The sequence below is a fragment of the Homo sapiens genome, chromosome 3 (assembly GCF_000001405.40).
Source record: "Homo sapiens chromosome 3, GRCh38.p14 Primary Assembly".
Taxonomy (NCBI): domain Eukaryota; kingdom Metazoa; phylum Chordata; class Mammalia; order Primates; family Hominidae; genus Homo; species Homo sapiens.
The window spans coordinates 2,645,287-2,665,858 of NC_000003.12; the positions used below are offsets into that span (position 1 = coordinate 2,645,287).

Genomic DNA, 20,572 nt, shown 5'->3' on the forward strand with positions numbered 1-20,572 from the left:
GAGTATAAGCAAATTTCATTGTAAAGAGGTTCTTCTGACAAGATCTGTGAAGAACATGATGTTATTAACTTAGACGTCTGCACTTACAATATAGCTTTTCCAAGACAATTTTTGCTGGGCTACAGGTGGTTATTTAAGACAATCAATTTACATAGAACAATTTATTCTTTTTTCATGCTGTTAAAGCAAATTGGTATGTAATTAGATTTATATACTGAATAATCTCATTTGCATATCCAATTAATTCTTCCTGTTTTAATTTGCTAGGGTTGAATTCACATTAGTAGTAAAAATAACACTTAAATTATAAAGGCCTCAAAATTTTCTTTGCTGTAATTTGTTCAAGATGTTGCATTTAAAAATTGGTCCCCAGCATTCTTTACAAAATCTACTGGGAATATGTGAAAGATTTTACTTAAAAGTGCCCTTAGCCAAATATCACACTTGAGGTTCACTCTTTGTTCATGATGAAGAGGTTAATGGATGGTAGAAAGCTAGTCCTTGCCTCAATACCCAATAATATTCAAAACAAGGAAAACTCAGGTTCTGTTTTCACCCTCTGACCTTTCATGCTTTGAGTATGTTTAAACACTGAGACATACATGCACAGAAATGAAATCTGTTCCCAAATAATTTATATTTATTCTTCAACTGTATCACTTCAACTATTGTTGTTTAACACAGTGGGAATATATATACTGTAGACAAATATTATTCTTTTTGGATTCAGATACACCAGAGCTTAGTATTTGTTTGTTTCTTTTGCCACTTCTGATATTGGGAAACCGATTTTGTCTATCTAAGAGTCAGTGTCCTCATCCTTAAAACCAAAAGAGAAAAATATGTGCCTTTCTAGAATGACTAATTTCACATGGCATAACATATAAAAGTATCTACTAGTGTGGATCCAACAATAGAAGATGTTCAGTCAGACATGGTATCTGGTCTGTAATAAACATATATAAACACTATCAATCAAAATGAATATTCAATTTCTAGGACTTCATAGTATTTTTATTAAGTTCAGTGAATGTTTGTTAGTGGCCATTTTCATTACCAGACTTTAGATTCAAATATTGGCTAAGCATTTTGTGCAAATTATTTAGTCTCTCTATGCCTTAGTTTCTTCGTGTGTAATTCGGGAATAATAAAAAGTATTTTTACCTCGTATAATCGTGGTCAGAATTGAAGGGGTTAATACATACCCTCAGACTATTCCCTGGTGCATAGTAAGCACTCAATGAATGTTAACCATGGCTATCATTGTTACCATGTTGAAAGAATAGGCACCCATATCAGAGTTTCTTTATTGTTATCTATTAGTAAGTGTAAGAGTGTTTTAGGACTACCTTAACAAAGTACCACTGACTGTGTAGCTTAAACAACAGGAATTAATTTTTTCATAGTTCTAAAAGCTAGAAGTCCAAGATCAAGGCTTCAGAAGTTTAGATTGTTCCTGAGGACTCTCTCCCTGGTTTTCAGATGATCACCTTCTCCCTGTATCCTCACATGGCCTTTCCTCTGACTGTATCCAAATTTCCTCTTCTTATAAGGACAGCAGTCAGATTGGGTTAAAGACCACCCTAAGGTTTCATTTAACTTAATTACCTCTTAAAAGGCCCTGTGTCCAAATACAGTCACATTCTAAGGTACCAGGGGTTAGGGCTTCAGCATGAAATTTGGGGAAACATAATTTAGCTCATAATGCCAAGGTTGAATTTCCCTTATATCTGGTAGAGACCCTGAAGCTCTGTTTTCAGAACTGATATTAAATGTAAGCATATCTGTGTACTTAAGGTATTTAAAAAGCAAGGCCAGGCACGGTGGCTCACACCTGTAACCCCAGCACTTTGGGAAGCCAGGGTGGGCGGATCACCCGAGGTCAGGAGTTCGAGATCAGCCTGGCCAACATGGTGAGACCCCGTCCCTACTAAAAATACAAAAATTAGCCAGGCATGGTTGTGGACGCCTGTAATCCCAGCTACTCAGGAGGCTGAGGCAAGAGAATCGCTTGAACCTGGGAGGCAGAGGTTGCAGTGAGCCGAGATTACACCATTGCACTCCAGCCTGGGCAACGAGAGCGAAACTCATCTCATAAATAAATAAATAAATAAATAAATAAATAAATAAATAGCATAAGTAACCTATGCCTTATCTCAAGGTCTTGGCCCATTTTCTGCAGCTACAGCCATGCTTTCAAAGCTATACTTTTATTTTCTCCCCTCAGATTTTTATAGCCTGTGCATCAGATTCATGTAATAGAAATGTCATAACATTTATATTAGGTCTCTATTCCAGAGACCTAGGCTTACACCTCATATTTGTTGTTTGTTGTATAAATATACACATACAAATTACCTAAACTCAGGCAAGTGATTTTACCTCCATGAGACCTCCTTTTACTTATCTGTAAAAGGGGACATATTTCCTCACAAACAGATGCAAACTAAGACAGGATAGGGAAAAGAATTTTGTAAATTCTAAATTGCTGTAGAGATACCAGCTGTCTCTGCTTACTGAAAAGGCAATCTTAATTCCATTTTCTATTTTATGGTCATTGTTAGTTTACAGTTACTAATATTAAATGGCTTTAGTGGTCACTTTAGGAGAGACATTTACTTTGTTGTTAAACCAATATGTTTACAATTAGATATAAGTTTCTTTCTGGATTTGAAGATAACTGTAATTTGCAGTTGACGCTTATGCAAATTGCTATGTTCTGCTGCATACCCATTTTAAAATACAAATCCTTCCCAGTCATCACTGAGTGTATATAACAACTGCAAAGAAAACGCTCTGAAGATTTTTTTTTCCTGTCAAAATGCCACTTTGCCTTCAGAACCACCATCTAAACATTATCTTAATGACACTTACTTTATTTGGAATGCCAGTATCCTTTGTGTAATTTTCAGATAGCCTGCAGATATTTGAAAAACTTTACCAGCTTCTTCATCATTTCAGTCTGGGAAATGAGCATCCTATTACTGGCATGCCTTGTGTTATTGTGCTTTGCTTTATTGCACTTCACAGATTTTGAGTTTTTTTTGCAAACTGAAGGTTTGTGCCAACACTGCATCGAGCAAGTCTACTGCCACCATTTTCCCAACAGCATGTGCTTACTTTGTATCTCAGTGTCACATTTTTGTAATTGTCACAATAGTTCAAAGTTTATTCTTACTATTATATCTGTTATAGTGATCTGTGATCATTGATGTGACCATTGTAACTGTTTTGGGATACCATGAACCGCACCCATATAAGACGAAGAACTTAATCGATCAATGTTGTACTCTGGCTGCCCCACTGGCTGGCCTCTCCCCCATCTCTCTCCCTTCTCCTGGGGCCTCCCTTTTCCCTAAGAAACAACAATATTGAAATTAGGCCAATTACTAACCCCACCGTGGCCCCTAAGTGTTCAAATGAGAGGAAGAAGCGTACATCTTTCACTTTGAATAAAAAACTAGAAGGAATTGACCTTAATGAGGAAGGCATGGTGAAAGCCAAGACAGGCTGAAAGCTATGCCTCTTGCGCCAAATGGTTGGCTAAGTTATGAATGCAAAGGAAAAATTCTTGAAGGAAATTAAAAGTGCAACTTCAGGCAACGCATGAATAAGAAATTAATACAGTCTTATTGCTGATATGGCAAAGTTTGAGTAGTCTGGATAGAAGATCACACCAGCCGCAACATTCAACATTCTCTTAAGCGAAAGCCTAATCCAAAGCAAGGCCCTAATTCTCTTCAATTCTGTGAAGGCTGAAAGAGGCCTGGAAGCTGCAGAAAAGAAGGTGGAAGCTAGCAGAGGTTGCTTCATGAGATTTAAGGAAAGAGATGCCACCTCCTTAACATAAAAGTGCAAGGTGTAGAAACAAATGCTGATATAGAAACTGCAGCAAGTTTTCCAGATCTAGCTAAGATAATTAATAAAGGTGGCTACCCTAAAAAACAGATTTTAAATGTAGATAAACAGCCTTATGTTGGAAGAAGATGCCATCCAGGACTTTGATAAGTAGAGAGGACAAGTCAATGCCTGGCTTCAAAACTTCAAAGGACGGGCTTACTTTCTTGTTAGGGGTTAATACAGCTGGTGACTTTAAGTTGAAGACAGTGTTCATTGACCATCCTGAAAGTCTTAGGACCCTTATGAATCATGCCAGATCTACTCTGCCTGTGTTCTTTTATGGAACAACAAAGCCTGGATAACAGTACATCTGTTTACAACATGGTTTGCTGAATATTTTCTGCCCACTGTTGAGACCTACTGCTCAGAAAAAAAGATTCCTTTCAAAATATTACTTGTGTTTGACAATGCACCTTGTCACCTAAGAGCTCTGATGGAGATATATTAGGAGATGTATATTGTTACCCTTCCAGCTAACACAACATCGAATCTGCAGCCAATGGATCAGGAGTCATTTTGACTTTCAAGTCTTATTTAAGAAATGCATTTTATAAGGTTATAGCTGCCATACATAGTGACTTCTCTGATGGATCTCGGCAAAGTAAATTGAAACTCTTCTAGAAAGGATTCACCATCCCAGATGCCATTAAGAAAATTTGTGGCTGGGCACGGTGGCTCATACCTGTAATACTAGCACTTTGAGAGGCTGAGGCAGGCGGATCACTTGAGGCAAGGAATTTGAGACCAGCCTGACCAACATGGTGAAACCCTGTCTACTAAAAATACAAATATATCTATCTATAGATAGATATTTTACATATAAATATATATATTTATAAATATATATAATATAAATTCATATTATATGTATAAAATATGTATTTTTATAAATATATATATATATATAAAAGGGAAGGGAAAAGGAAGGAAGGAAATTTATAATTCATGAAAAGAGGTCAAAATATCAACCTTACCAGGATTTTGGAAATTGATTCCAACCCTCACGGATGACTTTGAGGGGCTTAAAGCTTTCAATGGAGGAAGCAACTGCAGATGTGGTGGAAATAGCAAGAGAACAAGAGTTAGAAGTGGAGCCCAGAGAGAGAAGTGATTGAATCGCTGCCATCATGATAAAACTTGAATGGATGAGGAGTTGCTTCTTATAGATAAGCAAATAACATGGTTTCTTGAGATGGAATCTATTCTTGGTAAAGATTGTGCAAATTGTTGAAATGACAACAAAAGAGAATATTATGTAAACTTAGTGGATAAAGCAGTGGTGGAGTTTGAGAGGATTGGCTTCAGTTTGAAAAGAATTCCTACTGCGGATAAAATCCCAGCATTACCTGCTGAGGAAGTCTGTCATGAACGGAAGACTCAATCAATGCAGCAAACTTCAATGTTGTCTTATTTTAAGAAATGGCCACAGCCACCCCAGCCTTCAGCAACATCCACCCTGATCAGTCAGCAGCCATCTTAATCGAGGGAAGACTCTCCCCCTTCAAAAAGATAACAACTTGCTGAAGGCTCAGATAATCATTAGCATTTTTAACAATAAATTATTTTAAGTTATGTACATTGTGTTTTTTAGACATAATGCTATTGTACACTTATTAAACTGCAGTATAGTGTAAACATGACTCTTGTATGCAATGGAAAACCAAAAAACTTGCGTGGCTCATTTTATTGCAGTATTTGTTTTATTGCACTGGTCTGGAACTGAGCTTAAGATATATCTGTATAGATAAGACTATGAATGTATGAAATTTCATAGGCTGGAGGTATCTTAAAGAACATCTAATTCATTTACAATCCTGTTATAAAGGTTATAGACTCTTTACTATGGAACGCAAGGATATTAACATCTTTTACTAGCAGACATTGAGTGAACAAGTTTATATGTCAAAAAGACTGTTACGGTCTTTTCCTTTCTGATGCCTTCTAAGACATGGTGGACCTACCAGGGTAAAGATTCAAGAGTGGCCATTGCAGTCTATTTAACAGCTCCATTCTTTCACCACCTCCTTTGATCTCATCTTTTTGAGCCTCTTTCCTTGCAGTGAAGGGACAAGCAGGGTAGAAAAAAATATTCCCTTAGGATCCTCTTGCTTCCTTTGTGCTCCCGATGATCCCTTTGTATTTTCAATCTGTGGGTCTCTTTAATGCCTTTATTCTCTCCTTCTCCCAAAAATAGTGTCAGTTCACCAAGGACACCACATAGGTAGTCAGTCATTTGGTTCGATCAGATTCTCATGGAACCTACAAGACAAGCACCCTTTTCACTTTTCTAGGAATGGCCTCCTCTTAGCATATAATCTGGGTGTTACACTGAAAAAAGTCTAGCTCTTCCTTTGATTGAGTAGCATTATCAAAATTACCAAGGGCCAGGCACGGTGGCTCATACCTGTACTCCCAGCACTTTGGGAGACTGAGCCAGGAAGATCGCTTGAGCCCAGGAGTTTGAAACCAGCCTAGGCAACGTAGGGAGACCTCCATCTCTACAATTTTTTTTCTTTTTTTTCTTTTTTTTTTTTGAGACGGAGTCTCACTCTGTTGCCCAGGCTAGAGGGCAGTGGTGCTATCTTGGCTCACTGCAACCTCCACCTCCCTGGTTCAAGCAATTTTCCCTACTTCTTACTCTCGAGTAGCTGGGATTACAGGCACCTGCCACCACTCCTGGCTAACTTTTGCATTTTTTTTAGTAAAGATGGGGTTTCACCATGTTGGCCAGGCTGATCTCAAACTCCTGACCTCAGGTGATCCACCCGCCTTGGCCTTCCAAAGTGCTGGGATTATAGGTGTGACCCACCGCACCTGGCCAAAAAAAAGGTGTTGTTTTTTTTTTTTTAAATAGCCAGGTATGGCGGTTCATGCATCCAGTTCTAGCAACTTGGTAGGAGGATTGCTTGAGCTCCTACCAACATTTTTCGATTGCTGAGGCAGGAGGATTGCTTGAGCTCACAAGGTCAAGGTTGTAGTGAACTATGATTACACCACTGCACTGCAGCCTGGGCAACAGAGCAAGACCCTGTCTCTGAAACAGACAAACACAATAACACACCAAGAAATTTGGGAACAGAAGGGAAATAAAAACCTCATCCCAATTACACATTCACTTACAAAACAGATACTTAGAAAGTGCCTAAATAAGTACTAGTAATTTATGTAGTACCAGTGGAAAGTGGTCTAATAGTCTTATTATTTCAACTACTATCCTTATGGATCTGCTAATCTAAACAGACACCTCTCTCCCAAAATACAGTAAGTGTTCAGCAGATAATGAAAGGGGACTGCTGTGCAGCTGCTGTGGGGCATGGCATTGAAACTGAATCCAAAGCCCACTGGGTCTGTGAGGTAGATGGAATGTGACAGGGAGAGAAGAGAGAAAAGACTTCCTAGAGAAGGTGCCAATGTTTCTAGGCACACAGGAATAACAAAGAAAACTCAGCAGGGGCCCAGAGCACAGGGACTTGTCCAATGAGATGAGAGAAGCAAGGAAGTAGTAGTACAGGTCTCAGTGGAATCCTTGCCTTAGTATGGTATGTGATTTTTTATAGTGCAGAGTGGATCTCGTGTGTGAATGTATTCTCCATCGTAGACGTGTGGTCGCTTATCAGTGTGGTCACTTATCAATCACATTTAAGCTGTTGTTTAAAATACTTATGGATCTTTTCTTTTGGAATTTTCTTTACGGCTCCTATTTTATTCCTCTGAATATTTCAAGTGCTTGTAAATCCTTGTCCTTTGAAGTTAGATTTCATTTTTGGCAACAGCTAAGCTTTCCATATTTAGAAACTTGTTCAGAGCCATTTCATGGTAAATGTTGGTGTTCATGCTGGGTAATACTGTTTTTTGGTCAAAAATGAATTGTGACTATAAATTAATGAAGCTAATTTTTTTGTGTGGCTTATAAATCAGTTCTCTATCATTTTTAAAGGGGGAATTTTAAAACATACGCGTTAATACATGTGAAAGCTTTTTTAAAAATTGTAAATCTCCACAATTTTTAAAAATTGTAAAAAAAGCAAGGACTTTTTTTATTTTTATTAATCATTAAGTTATATTACATTTCAACATACTGCTTTAAAACTCAATAAATAAGTTTTAAATTCTCTTTTAAACTACTAGTTTCTTAAGTAATTGTTCATTTGATGTTGTCTACCAGTTGAGCAACTGGTACATTAACCAGAGCTGTAGATTGAGCTCTTTTCCAAATATTTAGATTTTGGGTTCATAGAGAAATACCTTAAGAGAATTGTCAAATGAGGAAACTGACATTCAGAAAGGAGAAATAAGTAAGGTATCTAAGATCACAAGGGTAGTAATTGACTTACCAAATAATATAGTTTCAAATCCCTGACATTAAGTCAACTAAAGATTGGTCTTTTCACTGATGTAGATCTAGTCATTTTAGTCAGAAATACTCTTCTTTCTCCTATTTTCTCTCTAAAACCTCTGCCTTCAACCTTTGTTAGTCTCCCCATCTCTTTTTGTATTGCTTCTATCTGTGTGAGGGTTTGGATAACAAGAAGATAGTCTTCTTTCCTTTATATTTCCTTTATTTTTCTTCAGTGACTACTCAAAAATCTTACCCAGAATGGACACTAAATGAATGAATTTCTAATTGTTTTGCAGCTTTCTCTTCTGTTAGGATCAAGTGACCAGTTCGTCTCTACCAAACCCAGGATGTGTTTTTGATTTATGTGATTTGTGGTTTTGAGTTATAAGTGGTTCCATAAGGCCAACTAGCAGCTAGAAAACAGTAAGTTTGGGACTGTAAACAGTTACAGGGAAGTGGAAGTTTTTGGTTGTTTTATTGTTGTTAATTCTTTGTTTTGTTGCCCTTGGTAGACAAAACTTAAGTGATGATAGAGCTTACAGTTGCTAATTTACCCAATTCCATGCTTTGCTTTTTGAAAGCAATTGCTGTGTTTCCCTTCAGGGGATGAGCTTTATTTACTCCTTCTACTCCAAAGCTGAGCTATAGGAATTCAAGTGGGGTCTGGAAATACCATTGAAAAAAAGAGTTTTTTTGACCACCTTGGCAATGGCCAGTTGTTTCTTTCCATGGCCAGCCTCTTTGTTGTTTGTTGAGAATACTGTCTAAGAAAATCCCCTCAAAATTAGAAGTCTCTGAAAACTATACAGATCTCAAGGGCCTAAAAGGGAATGTTATCATTTTAATTATTGTGCTACTTTCAAAATTATACTGTTTGTAATCATGGGTATTGAAAAAGCCCAGACATTTGAGTTTAATTATGTGCTTTGTAATCCTAAGATACAATCCTTTTTTCTCATGCTTTTATATACCGTGTTTCTCTCTTTTCTCCAACACTTAATAAGGCCAACCCAAGGGTATTAATTCCGGGAATGAGTAAAAATGGTGTTATTCTTTCTCAAAGCCTAGTCAGGTCAGTCCACAAGCATTCAGCCCTGCTCACAGTATGTATTTGAAGAATGTATCTTTGTTTAGAAAAGAAAAGGAAGGTTTGGGAAGAGTGTGGATTAATATTATATGCTGCTTCCCTTTGGGCCTGTTTTTTCCCCCCAGTCCTTTCTTACCCTAGCAAATACAGTTAGGAGTCCTGGATTGCACATTGTAAGAACAAATAGGAATCTGCAGGCCTTCCTGGAAGGTCTGGGTCATAGCAGCTTCTTTGCTTCTTCTTCTTATCTTCTGCGTGGCACTAGCTAGTATGCCCCAGATAACACAGGGAAGGAATTTGACTCCTTGACATCTTACATGCAGCCAAACACTTCAGAATGTATAGAACTTTCTGAATCCAGGTAGCATCTCACTCTGAATGTCAGATGGATTTTTAAAAAATTTATTCCCCAAATAATTGTTTATGAGGAAATTTTTTGTCTCTCTAAGGTGCAGCCACGTAGAGTCACTTATTCTCTGAAGGGTCCCACCCTATAAGTGATATAAATCCTGATATTTCAAGGAATTTAGAAAATATGTTTGTTTTATTCCTCCTCCCTCCAGTGTGATACAGAATCTTAATAAGGAGCCTATGTTGCCTTTTGAATCATTAACTCTGAAGAAAGTTCAGGAATGTTAGACTTGGGAGATTAATAACTGTAACTGCAAAGAGAAGTCTTGTCTGTTAAAGAATTTGTGTGCACTATTGCATCACTCAGTATGTATGTGAGGCTTTCTATTTTTAACATTTTTAATGACAAGCTGCCTCCTTGGTTCTGTATGCCCTTCACCTTTGTCAGAATGAGATTGATAGTGAAAGTTTCTCTGCTGTTCTCATAAAAGTTGAATTAAGGGTCTTGATTTCGGTTTACTGTACTGCAGCATTATCTCTCATTCATCTAGTGGTCTCTTCTCTGTTTCTGTTTCCTGCTCTGCCTGTATTCTAGCATGCAGGGCAGTTGGCAGGGACTGGCCATGCAAAATAATAGCTGTTTCCAGAATAAGTCATTGAGTCATCTGAAAGTACAACATTATAGTGACATACCTGACTTCTCTATAATGCAGAAAAGGGAGTCATAATAACTTAAAGCATTGCACATTGCCAGAGCTATTTGAAATGACGGAACATGAATATTTTGACATCTAGTAGTAGCCTAGTGCCTCTTTGCCAGAAGATGCTAATGAAACAAACATGGAAATCACTGCGGGATTACCAAGACTGTTTTGACTTTCTTTCAGGATAATCCCACTGGGTTTTTAACTTGCAAATATCTGAATGCCCATCACATGGAGGAGGAAGCTGATTTGTTTGCAATAGAACTTGAAAAAATGGTGAAAACTAAAGATACTTTCTACCTTGGATTTCGGATTTGCTTTCTGATAATTAGAGATATCTCAAAAATAAAATGGACTTTCTGGAATGGAAAAGATAAGAATGTTTTATTGTCCTCGAGGCATTAGAATTGTAACCGTATTTGGCGAGAATGTTGAAGAGTAGCACCATGCATCCTAGGGAATTTTTAAAACAATTAAAAGAGAATAATTATAAGTCAAAGTTATCAGGAAGGAAGGACAGATGTAATCTCATTTCGCTGCATGATAGTAAATGAAGGTACATATAATATTTCCAAGAGAGAAAAATTTACTCAAAGTCCAAGAAATTCAGAGTAAATTCAAATGGATAAGAAGGTAAAAATGTAGTCTAAGGATTATAACTACTTCTGCCCATGCAAAAAGCAGTTATGTTTATAATCCCAGATTAAATTGCCCAGAAGTATCATCAGATCCCCTATCTGGTTCTCTTTAGAGCATGTTTCACCAACTGTAATCAAAGATTTGTTTTTATGACTGATTGATGTCTGTTTTCTCCCAGTACATTGTAAATTCCATGAAGACAGCAACTATGTCTGTTCTCTGTTTGAATCCCAAGCTCTAGTACAGTCCCTGGAGCATAATGCGGACTAACTTAACATTTGGTGAGTGAATTAATGAATGAATACATTGTGACAATTATAATGTGACAATAAATTATTGAGAGGTCAAGTCTCAAAAGGGAGGTCTAAGCTAATTAATTTTCTGAATGTGTATGCAGTACTAGCTTATGTACAAAAATCTTTCTTCAGATGTGTATGAGTCAGCAGCAACTGGAACTTGGAGGTGGTCTTTAGACCCCAATGTCGGTATCTGTTCAAGTATTCTATTCGTACCTTATCAGCTGTCTTCCTTTTCCTGTGGTGGAAGGACTGCCAGTTTCATCTAAGTGGTTTGCCTCAGAGTTCAGGAGAATAGCTCATTGGGAGTTCTGGTCAGATATTTTCAAACTCAAATGAGTAAGCTCTCTGAAAAACCTATACATAATGAAAAATAGTTTAAGATTACAGTGGTGTTTTGATGTGATCTGGAACAGTTCACCCACTCCTACTTGGCAATAAAAATAAATTATGCAATGGGACAGCCAACTGTTACAGCTTGGAAAACTGTTAAAAACTCAAAATAAATACGTAGGTTAATGTCATGAAGTACTTGACCGGACAAGCATATTTTTCCAATTCTAAGGGTAGAAAGTGTCTTTGTAAACATTCCTACATGTCAGAAAACTAAATAAAAATGACCTCTAGCTTCGAGGCACTTATTGGAAACCTATTTTACATTGAATACACAAGCCAAGATAATACAGACTGTTTGATAAGAAACATTAGAGAAATCTGTAACATGAGGCTTTTTATTATAGGTTTATTACATCAATCTCTCCAGTGGGTAATGGAACTTGTAAATATACTCTTATGTAGGAGTCTCCTTGTGGGCTTTTTATTCATGCTGAAGTAAGCACAGCAAACTTATTTGCTGTCAGGGTACATTGAATTTAAGATTAGTATTTATTTTGGTTCTAAGGAGGTTTTGCGTTTGTGAATTGAAAGTTGGATCAGCTGCATGAAAACAAGATGGGACTACAGGGAGCACAGGAAGTAAATTAGTTTTTTCTAAATATGCATTCTGTAAACCTACGTATTTAGCTAGCATGGGGTGCGTATGCGCAGTTTCTCAGATGGGTGAGTCATGCATCGGATGTGTATGTTTATGGCTCTGTGGTTTGGGTAGAGATAGATATTCAAAATGGCATATTGCAGTTACTGTTTTCTAATGCAAATCGTTCTAGAGAAAAAATATATATGTTTATAAGAAAGATTTCTTAACCTCTTTTTGACCAGTGACTTTCTTAATTTCAGTGGGGGCATATGAAATAAAACCCTCAAAATCATCAGCCACACTGTACCTTCCATATCATTGACAGATAACACTGACAAATTATTCCGGCTTGTTCTGACACCTGAATAGAATGTATCAGGTGGTAACTGAAGCCATGAGGATGAGTTGCCCATACAGAGGAAAGGATTATAATAGTAAATAGCTATGTTTTATGAATGACATACTAGATACTGTGCGAAGTGAACTAGATGTGTTATTTCATTTAATGCTGTGCTTATGAGACAGCCAGGTCGGAGGGGGTACCTGGCAAAACTCCAGCCAGCCTGTGCCCTGGGGTGGACCCACAGGAAGTTCGCACCTTTTGCAGCGGGGAGGAGCCTGGCTGCTCCTCTTCCTGTGTGGAACCTGGGATTCGGCAGGGTGGGAAGTGCTCTGTCAGGGACTCTGGCCCAGCAAGAGTCCCTGTTTTCCTTTTTTCTTCCTTTCACCCAATAAAACCCTGTCTTACTCACACTTCAAACCGTCTGTGAGCCTAAATTTTCATGGCCATGGGACAGACAAGGACCCCATCATTAGCTGAGCTAAGGAAAAGTCCTGCAATACTTACATCACATGACTATGAAGGCAGGTACCATGGACACTCTCATTTGTCAAAGACGGAAAAGTAAAGCACACAGAGGTAATACGATTTACTGAAATTCACACAAATAAATTTAAAGTCTGTTCCATCTATGTTGTGTTGTTACCTTAGGATCTCACTTCATATTTGTGAAGAATCATCCTTCCCATTTCCTTAAATACCCAAACCATGAGCATTTGTACCATCCTTTATTCCTTTTGGACATTTGCAGCAGAATGTCTATTTTGTTTAATATTAGCTCATAATCTGGGAAGTGAGTAGTAGTATTCACATTTTATCTGAAGTAAGTGAGACTTAGAGAGGTGGAGTGACTTGCCCAGGCCTGATTTACTGGGTCTTAGTTTCAAGCCTTTTTTTATAATGAAGCTCACTCTATCTCCAATAGAGCATGTTCAAGGTTCTAGGTCCAGAAAGGGATAAGCTGCAAATCATGAATCCATAAGAATAAATACCTACTTGCATTTTTTTATGTGGACATGCAAATAACACACCCACACACACAAACAGACACACACACACACACACACACACACACACACACACACACACACAGAACTAACCTAATATTTCAGGTCTCATGAATTGTATTTGGTTTAAAAATACAGTGAGATCAGAAAGAATGCTCTGTTCAAAAAAATCACATACTTTGTCTCATTAGAGACAGAATTGATACTCTTTATTGAAGAGTAAAATTCAGTAAGAACCTTCTTAAAAATAGGAGCAGGCCAGGTGGTGGCTCAGACCTGTAATCCCAGCAATCTTAGGAGGCCAAGGCGAGCAGATCACTTGAGGTCAGAGTTGGAGACCAGCCTGGCCAACATGGTAAAACCCCGTCTCTACTAAAAATACAAAAATTAGCCAGGTGTAATGGTACATGTCTGTATTCCCAGCTACTCGGGAGGCTGAGGCAGGAGAATCACTTGAACCCAGGAGGTGGAGGTTGCGGTGAGCCGAGATCACATCACTGCACTTCACCCTGGGTGACAGAGGAGACTCCATCTCAAAAAAAAAAAAAAAAAAAAAAGAAGAAGAAGAAGAAGAAAAAGAAGGAAGAGAGGGCAAATGTGTATTATCTTATAGGTATTACCCTAGTCTGCAGTGAGGTTTTTGTTCTCTTATGTCCTATAAAGATCAGTGAATTCTAACGACTTTTACACTAATGTTCAAGTTGGTCCTTAATTTTATTATTTCCCTTTTCACTTATTTGACTTGGCTTTCTACATACCAGATGGTCACCTGAGCCCAGAGCCACATCTTTTCATTTGTTATGCTTTACAATTTGTCATAATATCTGGTATATTTGATATGGACAAATATTTGTTTGATTGTTTTCTTTTGATGTGGTGATGTTTGAACTCATCCTAAATGTACACAATAGTTTTGAGAGACATTTTAAACCCAATAACATGTAAATTTCTTAAAACATTGCTCCTGTTCAGATACATCGAACTGGAAACCTGGTCAGGGATTGTGTGAACAGCTTCATTTTCTCACTATACCTTGTACATGAAATCCTATTTCTGTTTGTCTTTTATTGGCTTTTAAAATAGCATGACGATCTGATGCACAGTCACTGGGCTTTGGCAAATCTCTATTTCCTCCCAGCCACAGAAATTTACATTTCTTCCCAAGCTACTCTGACTGTGAATAATCTATGTGAGGAGTGACCTCAGTTCATTTGAAAGCATCCAACATCCTGAAAACTGTAAAGCCACAGCACGCACTGATTTCTCAAGGTCTAAGAGATGGTTTATAAATGATTAAAAAAAAAACTCTAATAGTATACTCAAAACATTTTTTAAAAAAAGAAATAGAGTTATGAGTCTGCAAGGACTTATTTAAGAAAGACGTCCTAATATTGGGGGAGGTGGATTCACTGGCACTGTTATATCAACCAAGTATTTCATGTGTGAGGAGATAAAGCAGCAAACTACGCAAAATAAACAGCGTGTGTTCACCTTAGATATCTAGGACGCTTCACTTTGAATAAATTTTCTCTGCTTTTTTGAATCCAGAGCAATATTGTCTGTTAGACAAGTTCTGGGTTTTGTCTGCTTCAGGCCTGTCTTAACCCTGCCATTAATTGGCATATGTCCAGGCAATTAAAACTGTGGTATGGAGCAAATTAAAAAAGAGAATTTAAAGCACCAGAGTCATTTGAAATTCCAAGGTCAAATGGAAATAACATTGAATTATCTTCTTTTGGGGATTATACCTGCCTCTATTTGTCTCCACCAGAGGTGATAATCTAGACTTTGGTTACCTACTCTTTGCATCCTCAAAACGGGAACACACAGGAATGCTTTTTTCCGAAGGCCAGAATGACAGATATAAGATTGAAGTTAAACACAACTGATGCCCAGCACGTCAGAGCAGGACAAAGAATCAGAGGCAATTTAATCCCACCTTTATGCTTTTGAAAGACAAAAGGAACTCAAGCCCAGAATGGCAAAATGATTTACTAAAGGTCATCACAACTAGGCACCCCTCTAATTCTGGTAATAATTAAAATCAACAATATTTATTGAACACTGACCTTTGCCAAGCACTGTTTCAAGCTCTTCCCATGATTTTTTGGTATTATAGTTAAGGAGCGGAGGTAAAGGGACAGTGAAATAAGTATCCTCTATATCCTACTACTACCAAACAGTTTTTCTTCAGCTGAGCCAATAGCTACCATCTTCCAACTAATTCTTAGCCAGACTAAGATGACAAAGGAAATACACTAAGCATGATTTAGCTTTTTCTTATGTCTCCAGTTGTTGTTTTGAAAGTGTATTCATGGCAGGGAAATATCCCAAAGCCAGGCAGCCCCAAGGAGGAGTGCCTCTAGCATGAGTATTCCAGAAAGTCATCAACCTCTGAATACTTAAGTTGACCCTGTGATTTATGTATCTAGGACTGAAATAAAACATTTCTGACTTTCTATACAAGATTTTGCAATGTTTATATTAGTCAAGATCAGCTTTTTCCAAAACATGCTCGATGGATCACTCCCTTCTCAGGATGCTGTATAAGAAAGAAGCAAAAAAGCTGTGATCAAATAATTTTTGTTTAAAAAAAAAAAATCCTGGCCAGGCGTGGTGGCTCGTGCCTGTAATCCCAGCACTTTGGAAGGCCGAGGTGGGCGGATCACCTGAGATCGGGAATTCAAGACCAGCCTGACCAACATGGAGAAACCCTGTCTCTACTGAAAGTACAAAATTAACCAGGCGTAGTGGCGGGTGCTTGTAATCCCAGCTGCTCAGGAGGCTGAGGCAGGAGAATCGCTTCAACCCAGGAGGCAGAGGTTGCGGTGAACCGAGACGCCATTGCACTGCAGCCTGGGCAACAAGAGCAAAATTCCATCTCAAAAAAAAAAAAAAAAAAAAAAAATCCTGCATCATCCTGATGATGTTCATTATCATATAGAAATTTTAAGAATACCCGTAATAAATGTTTTTTAAGTCAGCATTTCCCAAATTCAGACAAACACAGAACCCAACCCCCTGCCACCTTTTGTTAAAAAATTCATGTTAACCTTCCTGCAGAGCAGATATCAAGAAAGATGTGTGAGAGGAAATTTCATTCAAAAAACACTTATCAAGTGCTGATATTATAGCTGATGCTGGGTTATAGAGATCAAAGACCCAGTTCCAGAATTCATAGAGCTCACAAGCTACAGAAAGAGATAAGCTTGTAAATCACAGTTATAATACAGTTTAGTAATTAGTGTCATGCACAAAAATAGGGGATGTGGAGCTAGAAATTAAGATATTTCCCATCACCTTGCTGTTGAAGAGTAGTACTGACTGCTATATTATATTATCCCTAAATTCAGAGGCTTAATTTACTAGAAATTTAGATCTCACTCATATAAGATTCAATGGAGGAGAGTGGCAGCAACAACTATGGTTCATACAGTCATTCAGGGATGCAGATTAATCTTCAGTGTGTGACTTTCCAGATGTCTTTGGACATCAACATCCAGCTGCTAAACAGGAAAAGAGAAAAGTTAAAAGGAACACTGTGCAAGATGCTTTTATGATCTAGGCCTGAGAGGATACATTTCTTTCACCTGTGGTCCAATGGTTCATTCATATAACTACAACTAACTGCGAGAGAGGCTAGGAAATGTGGGCTACTTCTGGGTCCTGCAAGGATGGGGAAAGGGTTTGGTAAGCAGCTAACTAGTCTCAACCTCAATGGGCAATATGAACTTAGGCAACAGAAGGTATAGGGACCTTCCAGGCAGAAGTAATCAACTATCTGTTGACATAAAGGAAGGGCAATCATGGCACTATTGACACCCTACGAAAAGTATGATATGGCAAGAGTAGAGACCACCTGCGGAAGAGTGTAGGAGACAGGATGGCTGGGAACAGTGGCTCATGCCTGTAATCCCAGCGCTTTGGGAGGCTGAGGTGGGTGGATCACTTGAGATCAGGAGTTCGAGACCAGCCTGGCCAACATGGTGAAGCCCCATCTTCACATTTGTATTTTAGTATACAAAAATTAGCTGGGTGTGATGGTGTGTGCCTGTAATCCCAGCTGCTCAGGAGGCTGAGGCAGGAGAATCGCTTGAACCCAAGAGGCAGAAGTTGCAGTGAGCCGAGATCACGCCACTGCACTCCATCCTGGGCAACAGAGTGAGACTCTGTCTCAGAAGAAAAAAAAAAGAAAAGGGAAATAAAGACACAAGATCATGTGAGCTTTTTGTACTATGTTAAGGAGCTTGTATTTTACTTTTTCAATGATGGCGATTTATTAAAGAATCTAAAAATCATTGAACTAGAATCAAAAAAGTGAGTTAAGAGATTAATGGTATATAATAGGAATAGATAATGAGCTAACAAGTAATTGATGGCATAGAATAGGGATGGATTCAAGAAGTACTGTAGGTAAAATATACATGACTTGGGGACCCAGTGAATGTAAAAAGTGAGGAAGAGAGAAGGTACAGTCAAGAATATTTCCTGGGCATGTCTGGCTAGTTAGATATTGTTCTGATTTATTAAAAACAAGAGACATTGGGAAAGGAATTTGGTAAGTGGGAGGAACTCATAAGGGTCTGAAGTATAGGAAGGAGGTTGAAACTTGAGGGTGGTCAGCATGTAGGTTTCCTTGAAGCATGTGGAATGAATGCAGTCTAAAGGAGAAAGAAAATCGAGGCATGCAGAGAGCTTAGAACAAAACCACACACCAGAATTTAAAGGGCTCAAAGAAGAATTTGTCCATGAAGAATCTAAAATGATAAAGAGAACCAAGGGAAGAAAGAATTTTTTAAAACAAGGTAGGAAACAACCCACATGTCCATCAGCTGGTGAATGCATGCATACAATGTGATATGTCTGTAAAACAATACTATTCAGCAATAATAGGGAATAAAGTACTGATGCATACATATTACAACAAAGATGAACCTTGAAAACATACTAAGTAAAAGAGTCCTGTCCAAAAAGACCACATATTGTCTGATTCTATTTGTATGAAATGTTCAGAATATGCAAATCTATTGAGATAGAAAGACTAGTTGTTTTCTGGGGCATTGAGAGGTAGGTGGGGGTGGTTGGGTAGTGGGGAAAAGGGAACAAATGCTAATGAGCACAGGTTTTTTGCAGGAATTAGGAAAATATTGTAAATTTGATTGTGATGATGGCTATACAACTTTGTGAATGTACTTAAAACTATTGAATTATAGACTTTTTAAATAGGTAAATTGCATGGTGTATGAACTATATCTCAAAGCTATCAGTTAAGAAAACCAAAAAAGGAAAGTAGAACCAGTGAAGTTTGGGGTAATAGAAATACATACGTCTTCTAAGCCAGCTTCTGGAGGCAAAATTCAATGGCTTCTAAACCAATCCTGTGATTTTCTTTTTTGGTCCAGAATTGCATTTGCATTTTTCTGTGGGAAACACTTCTACTTTATTTGCAGATGGTCACATTCTTAAGGCATTTAGATCATCACCTATATTTTTTTTCCTTAAGTAAGTCTAGATTTTCTGTAAATTAGCATTGAATTTTATGATAAGTAAGTTGGAGAAGTTTTATATAGTAAATTTCTTTCAATATCAAAATTATCTTGAAGATAATACACTTAGCTATAAACATGTAACCTCCCATTATCCAGGGTTATATAGTCAATATCTAGACTTTCAGCCATGCCTGGGACCCAAAGTGAGCCCAGCCACATCTTATCAGAGGAAAGCATTTGTCATTTTACATTTAAATTCACATCTGAGGTATTCTCCAGGTTTTCTTGGAACTGCAGAAATATCACCGTTATACATTATTTAGTAACCAGCTTGCTTTGCAAAGGTCAGGTTCGTGTTATTCAAAGCGTGATGCTTAGTATGCGATGACACAAACAGATTTCTTGCTTTAAAGTAATAGAATGCGATGAGTGAAACCAACTTTCTTTGGAAGAAAGATGTCTCCTTTCCACGACATTTGATTTGTAAGTGGGTTTGGCTTCATTAATATTTAATTGTCTTTTTAATCTGTATGTCAGTTCTTATTGCAGACTGCTTCTGGGGAGGTTTTCCTCTGAAATACCAATAACAACCATTCTTCACTCTAACATCAAAACAAGGGCTCTCTCCGGGACACCTAGTTGTATTTCATCTCTAGGGATATAATTATTTTGTCGTTATCCACAGTTCCTCAAGGGACTGATGATGTAGGACACCCTCCTTAAAGACCTTTATATGTCAAAAGAAGAACCTGATTTGTTAATGTTGCAAATACTAATTCAGATGGTCTTGCATCATTCTTGTGAGTTGCCTTTTCTTAACCAGGCTATACAGAATTTGTACTTTTTTATTAGCACGTTAGTGGAGTTTGAAGCTGTTAGTTGATCTTTTCAGGATATTTTCATGAGCTTTACTAGTTTAGGAAACAGTGCTTTTTCTGTGGGATGCATTTTGAACATTTAAATTCATTTTCAAACACAAATCAGAATAGGGAATGAAATGATAAACAACCCTTTATAAATTTTCAACTTGATCACCTATAGCAATAAAGCTACAAAAAGAACTCAGAATTAGTATCTCTGGAGATTGACATAGAGAAATTGAGATTGACATCTCTGCAGCAAGTTGAGCCTCTTTGTGAACTGGTCATTTTTATTTCCTGGTCACTTGGGAGAAACCTGGGTGAAAAAATTGGACATCTGTTTTTGTTTGTGATAGCAAATTCCCTATGGGATGAGCCTCACCCTAATTAGGGGACCACTCTTGGCCCTCTCAGGAGAGAATATAAGGGTAGATAAGGAGACTTAGGTTACCCTCTCAATCAATCACAGTGGGGCAAAATGGAATAATTTCACACATTTTCCTTTAGCTGGATACTTGATATATGAGAAAAAATATGGGGTATCCACATCCTAAAATTTTAACACTTCCCTGTGCTTACCAACG

The 20,572-nt window shown here is 37.8% G+C and overlaps 1 protein-coding gene across 37 annotated transcripts in view, besides 1 other annotated feature; it reads left to right on the forward strand.

Annotated features, from left to right (window-relative positions):
• CNTN4 (contactin 4) overlaps window positions 1-20,572 on the forward strand; it is a 959,094-nt gene that overhangs the window by 546,421 nt on the left and 392,101 nt on the right. Inside the window, exon 1 of one of the 37 annotated variants that reach the window (XM_011533431.3) lies at window positions 8,060-11,301. The exons of the other annotated variants lie outside the window; for them this stretch is intronic. Within the exon in view, the coding sequence (XP_011531733.1) occupies window positions 11,280-11,301 (22 nt within the window). The 5' untranslated portion in view covers window positions 8,060-11,279. Of the gene's footprint in view, window positions 1-8,059; window positions 11,302-20,572 lie in introns of those variants that run through there. 37 annotated transcript variants of the gene reach the window in all.
• Window positions 10,060-10,279: an enhancer, noted in NCBI's record as "active region_19336". NCBI's record gives its function as "activates an Ori minimal core promoter by ATAC-STARR-seq in GM12878 lymphoblastoid cells {active_cell/tissue: GM12878}" and the evidence as "EXISTENCE:reporter gene assay evidence [ECO:0000049][PMID:35858748]".